This window comes from Homo sapiens, chromosome 2 (assembly GCF_000001405.40).
Source record: "Homo sapiens chromosome 2, GRCh38.p14 Primary Assembly".
Taxonomy (NCBI): domain Eukaryota; kingdom Metazoa; phylum Chordata; class Mammalia; order Primates; family Hominidae; genus Homo; species Homo sapiens.
The window spans coordinates 118,770,344-118,775,995 of NC_000002.12; the positions used below are offsets into that span (position 1 = coordinate 118,770,344).

Here is a 5,652-nt window from a genome sequence, read left to right on the forward strand (position 1 = left end):
AACATTATTAACTGAGCATTTAGTCTGTACAAGGTCCTATGGTGTTTCTCTATATTATCTCAGTAGAGAAACAAGGCTTGATGTGCCCTGTTTGGTGGAAGGTATATTTCTCTATATTATCTCAGTTGATTCTCAACTGGGTTGATTCTCAACTGAGATAATATAGATACTATCAATAAATGTAATTGGAGGCAGGGAGTAGAAATGTAGGAATAATATAGTATCTATATTATCCATACTGTTATCAACTGAGGTAATAGATTCAGAATCAAATGTAATCAAATGAGGTATCGTTTGATATCTCAGTTGGGATAGGTAGAATTACCAACAGCTATTTTGTAAACAAGGAAAACTGAAGCAAAAGAGATTAGCTGACTTGTTAATGGTCAACAAGCTAGAAAATGATGACATTGAAATTTAAACAAACATTCCTCTGACCTCACTTTGCTACAAAACCCCAGGTTGTATCATGCCCTCTAACAATTCTGGACGTGGCCAGGACGTGGTGCCAAGTCTCAGGGGCAAGACAGAAGAGGCAGAAGCACATTTAGTTCTTGTGTTTAAAGCAGGTGATTGTCTCCAAGCTTCTCTGGACTTCAGGTGAACACCTTCCTTTGGTCCTCAGAACACCTCTTCCCCACATGTATGGCTGCTTAAGAAGACTTTGAGGTCGCAGGTAGAAAAGCATGGCATCCAGAAACACAGCTTCTCCTGACCAAGGCTGTCAACAGCCATGAACATCATCCATGAGCTGGTTTCCTCCAGGAGACAACTTCCTGTCCCAAACCTTCACTGGTTGCTTTCTGCCTCAGTCTACGTCATAACTGGGTGTTCTCAAGCCAGACATGGCTGCAAATAAGTTACGTTTGGCTTGATAGCTTTTAAAAATTGGAATATATCACATAAAATCCCAGATATGGGACTTTGCTTCAGAAATTAGAAGATCTGGTTACAGATGACCTACAATCCAAGAACCAGCTGGAGCTGAGTAGGAACTGACCTTTCAAATACACATGGCTGGCCACAGGCCCCACTGCTCCTTATTGCCGCGTATTGACCCCTATAGGCATTTGAATTTGGAAACCCCAGACTGCATAACCAAATCCAAGGCCTGGCACTCAAAGCCCTTTGCTACCTGGACCCCAATCTCTTGTTCCAGTCAACCTAAAACTGCTGCTCTCCAGCCTTCTGGAGTGGACCCACCCGAAGGGCTCCTTTTCATTATACCTCATCTAAGGGTCCTTCTTGTCTTCCTACACTTCTACTCCCTGCCTCCAGTTGCATTGGATTCTGCATCTTTTGGCTTCCTTTTCCTTCCCTGCCCATCTGGGATCCACACAAAAGTGTGGAAACCCTGACTCTTTTAGATCTATGCATGGAAGAACTACTGAAGAAGAACCCATTGCCTGATTCCTTGCTGCTACTCAAAGTGTGGTCCAAGAACCAGCTACCTTAACAATGCCTGGCAGCTGTCAGAAAGGCAAGATTCCAGACCTCCACCCCACACTATTAAAACCAAAGCTGAACTTTAATAAGATCTTCCAGGTGAACTGGATCACATTAAAGTTTTGGCAACCCTCACCTACTGAAAGAATTGCAAGTCAAAGCCAGGTTCAGCCTCAGGCTCAGGTACTCACCCATAAGCCCACTCCCTAGCTCTTCTCCAGGCCACTCAGCTTCTCCCACAGCACCAAGGTAGAACACAAAAGGCTCAGTAACAAATCCAGCAGGTGGCCCCTTTCTAATGAGGCAGAATTAAGCAGATCAGCGTCCCAGGACTGAAGGCATACAGCCACCTTTCACATGATGAGTGCCAGTCCCTGTGTGCCACATCAGATCAGCCTTCTGACCCCAAGCCATCCAAATATCCCTGCTCTACTGCAGAGGGTAGGAACTGAGCTAGACAAAATAGGAAATGTTCTGAAACCAAGTGTGGTCATGAGCTCTGACCAACATGCAGGAACACTTGTAGATGCTGGAGATGGTCCAACACAAAGGATAGTGTGCATTACAGAGATGAAATGGAAAGGCAAATGGGAATATAGGACCGCTGTTGCAATCATGAGATCATATGATTCCAATACTGCTTATCCCAGTGGAGGTACAGGTTAGCTCCATTGTTCAATTTAGTAACTATTGATCAGAGAAAATGCTGTGTGCCAGGCACTGTTTCTAGGTGTGAGACAACAGACAAAAATCCATACCACCGAAGCTTACAAACTAGTGCAGGGAGACAGACAGGAAACAAGAGAAAGAAGGATAGAAAGACAGGCAGTGTCCGTGTGCGCACATGTGCCTGTGTGTTTTGAGGTGGAGGAAGCATTCTAATCATATGAGCAGCTCAACGTGGTGATAAGAGCCTTGAAGTGGGAATGAGGAGAAACTGTTCTTCTTTTGCACGTGAACTCATTTGACACTCATGATAATCTATGAGCTACAGTGGCAGGTGTCTAGGTGGCCCTGCGACCTGCTTGCCAGTGTTCACACCCCTGTGCGTTCCCCTCCCCTTCAGTGCAGGCTGCACCTGGTGACTCGGTCTAACAAATAGAAAATGGCAGAAGTGATGGGATGTCACATCTGAAATTAGACAGTAAAAAACTGGCTCCTAAATCTCTCTCTCTCTTTCTCTCTCTCTCTTTCCCTCTCTCTCTCTCTCTCTCTCTCTCGCGCGCGCGCGCGTGCGCGCGCGCCTCACTCTGGGAGAGGCTGTCAGTTGTGAGCAGCGCTATAGGCCTACGTGGTGAGCACCTGATGTCTCTGGCCAATAGCCAGCAAGGACCTGAGGCCACCAATGGCCTCATGAGTGAGCTTGAAAGCAGGTCCTTCCCCAGTCCAGCCCAGGGATGACCGCAATTCCAGCACTTTAATTGCATCTTCCTGACAGATCACCCATAAGCCACACCCATATCCTTGACCCATGGACACTGTGACTTTAGAAATGTTTGTTATTCTCAACCACTAAGTTTGGGGTAATTTGTTATACAACAGGCAATACAGGTCAAGCACAGTGGCTCATGCCTCTTATCCCAGCACTTTGGGAGGCCAAGGTGGGAAGATCGCTTGAGCCCAGGAGTTTGAGACCAGCCTGGCTACATGGTGAGACCCTGTTTCTACAAGAAATAAAAGTAAATTATCTAGGTGTGGAGGCATATGCCAGTAGTCCCAGCTACTTAGGTGGCTGAGGCGGCAGGATTGCTTGGGCCCAGGAGGTCGAGGCTGCAGTGAGCTATGATCACGCTGCTGCACTCCAGCCTGGGCAACAGAGACAGACCCTGTCTCAAAAAAAAAAAAAAAAGGTGGGGTGAGCAATACATTATATAGGCAGGTACTTTTCTTACCTCCATTTTATAGAGGATAAAACAAGGCACAGAGAAGTAAATTAACTTGTCCAGGACATACAGCAAGTAATGCCAGGGCTGAGATTTGAACCCTAACAGTCGGGCATCTAGAGCCCGTACAACTGAGCAAGGCAGGATGCTGACATATTCAAGTATGGGTTTGTGCATCTGCTCCTCTAATCGGACTGTGCTCTCCTTTTCAGATCTGTGCACCTGGCACTTGGTCATTGTCCAGCACTTAGGAAGTGCTCAGCAAATGCTAGCTGAGTGAAGCCAGGAGGGTGGAAGTGAGCAGAGCTGTCCTCTTGACTCTAGCCCACCTTGCACCAGAGAAGGGAAAACAGAAGCGGTGAGGAGAAACGTCCCCCACGTCCCCATCAGCCCCTAGTCTCCTGCATGGAGCTGGAAGCTGCGTTTTTGTTTTGTTTTGCTGAGACATACACAATCCAAGGAGAGCATGTTAGACTTGGCCCTAAGTTTAATATCCTCGATCTGATCTCCTAATCTTTTTCAGGTGCATCTCACATTCGGAATCTTTATTTGGCTTCCAAACAGCAAGTCGTCTCTTGAACTGAAAAAATGTGACTTGTATCTGTTTATCTTTAGTAACCTCTGAAAGATATGTTTGTAACTTTATGGGAATGTTCTACAAGCCTGTTAAACAACATCTGTTCTTGTTGCTTGTACACTTTCGGAGATGGGTCTTTAGGATTTTTTTTTTTTCAAGAAACATCTAGAAAGAATTTTTTTTATTACGTTTTCATTGTTCTGGTGCAAAGTACACGTGAACTCACAGCTCCCAGCCACTCGACTTTGCGGAGGGGGCTGAAAGCCTCAGTAGCGGACCCGGCCGGGAAAGGCGGAGCCGACAGCTGTCGCGGGGCGGGGCTTCCAGGGCCGGGAGGTGGAAGGCGGAGAGCGGCGAGGGCTCCGGCTCCGGACCCAGCCGAGCGCGCAGCGTGAAGCGGAGAACGCCGGGTTAGCGCCAGGCTGAATCCTCGCTCTGACTCCTATTGCGGTGGGATGTGGTCTCTGAGTCTCCGTTTACCGATTTTACGGAATGGAACTTATAATGAACACTAGCCAACACAAGCAGAGGTTTGCCTTGAGTGACTTCTCTGAAAGTGGCACCTTTTACCATTTTTTAGGTAACAGAAACTGACCTGAGGGTGACTAAGCCCGAGATGAAAAGCTGTTAAAGGGACCTGCATGGAAGCAAACCGGTGTGCGGCGCCGAGCATAGGGTGCTGGGGGCGCCTTTTTTCTGTGCTGGCGTCCCCCACCCCCGGCTTGCTGTCCTCGTGAAACCTCGCTCCCGCACTGCAGCTGGGTCGGGAAGCCCTTCCTGCAAGCCTTACAGGGTCCTTGGTTCTGTGAAACGAAGGCAAGAAAGGGAAACCGGCCCTGCCTGAAGGTGCTGAGTCCATGCCCTCGTGTCTTGCAGTTCCAGGAGCACCGATACATGCATCTTATTTTTATCTAATTAATGTAGTTTTTTGAGCAGTTTTAAAAAGGTTTACAAAAAAAATTGAGTGGAAAATACAAAGAGTTCTCATATACTCCTTTTCTCTTCTGACATCTTCTATGAGTGTAGTCGATTTGTTATGATTGATGAGCCAACGTTGATATATTATTATTAGCTAAAATCCATACTTTACATTAGCATTCACTCTTTGTGTTGTACAATCTGTGGGTTTTGACAAATGCGTAATGTCATGTGTCCATCATCACAGTAACTATACAGAACAGTTTCACTGCCCTAAAAATCCCCAATGCTCCACGTAGTCCTCCCTCTTTCCCCTCAAGCCCCTGGCAACCACTGATCTTTGTAGTATCTCCATAGTTTTACTTTTTCCAGAATGTCATATACTGTAGCTGGAATCATACAGTAAGTAGCTTTTTTAGATTGGCTTCTTTCACTTAGCAATATGCATTTTATTAATAAGTTCCTCCATGTCTATTTGTGGCCTGATTGCTCATTTCTTTTTATGGCTGAATAATACTCTGTTATTGCAGGTAGCACATTAATTTATCCACTCACCTGCTGAAGGACATCTTAGTTGCTTCCAGGTTTTGGCAATTATGAATAAAATTAATCTAAACATTCATGTGCAGATTTTTCTATAGATGGAATCTTTCAACTCTTTTGGGAAAATACCAAAGAGTGCAATTGCTGGGTCATATGGTAAGAGTATGTTTAGTTTTGTTTAAAAAAGAAAAAAAAAAGGCTAGACTGCCTTTCAAAGAGGCTGTACCATTTTGCAGCCATTTCCACTAGCAATGAATAAGAATTCCTATAGAATTCCTATTGTTC

At 45.7% G+C, this 5,652-nt stretch overlaps 1 annotated feature.

Moving 5' to 3' along the window:
• Positions 4,182-4,301: a silencer, noted in NCBI's record as "silent region_11897". NCBI's record gives its function as "represses an Ori minimal core promoter by ATAC-STARR-seq in GM12878 lymphoblastoid cells {active_cell/tissue: GM12878}" and the evidence as "EXISTENCE:reporter gene assay evidence [ECO:0000049][PMID:35858748]".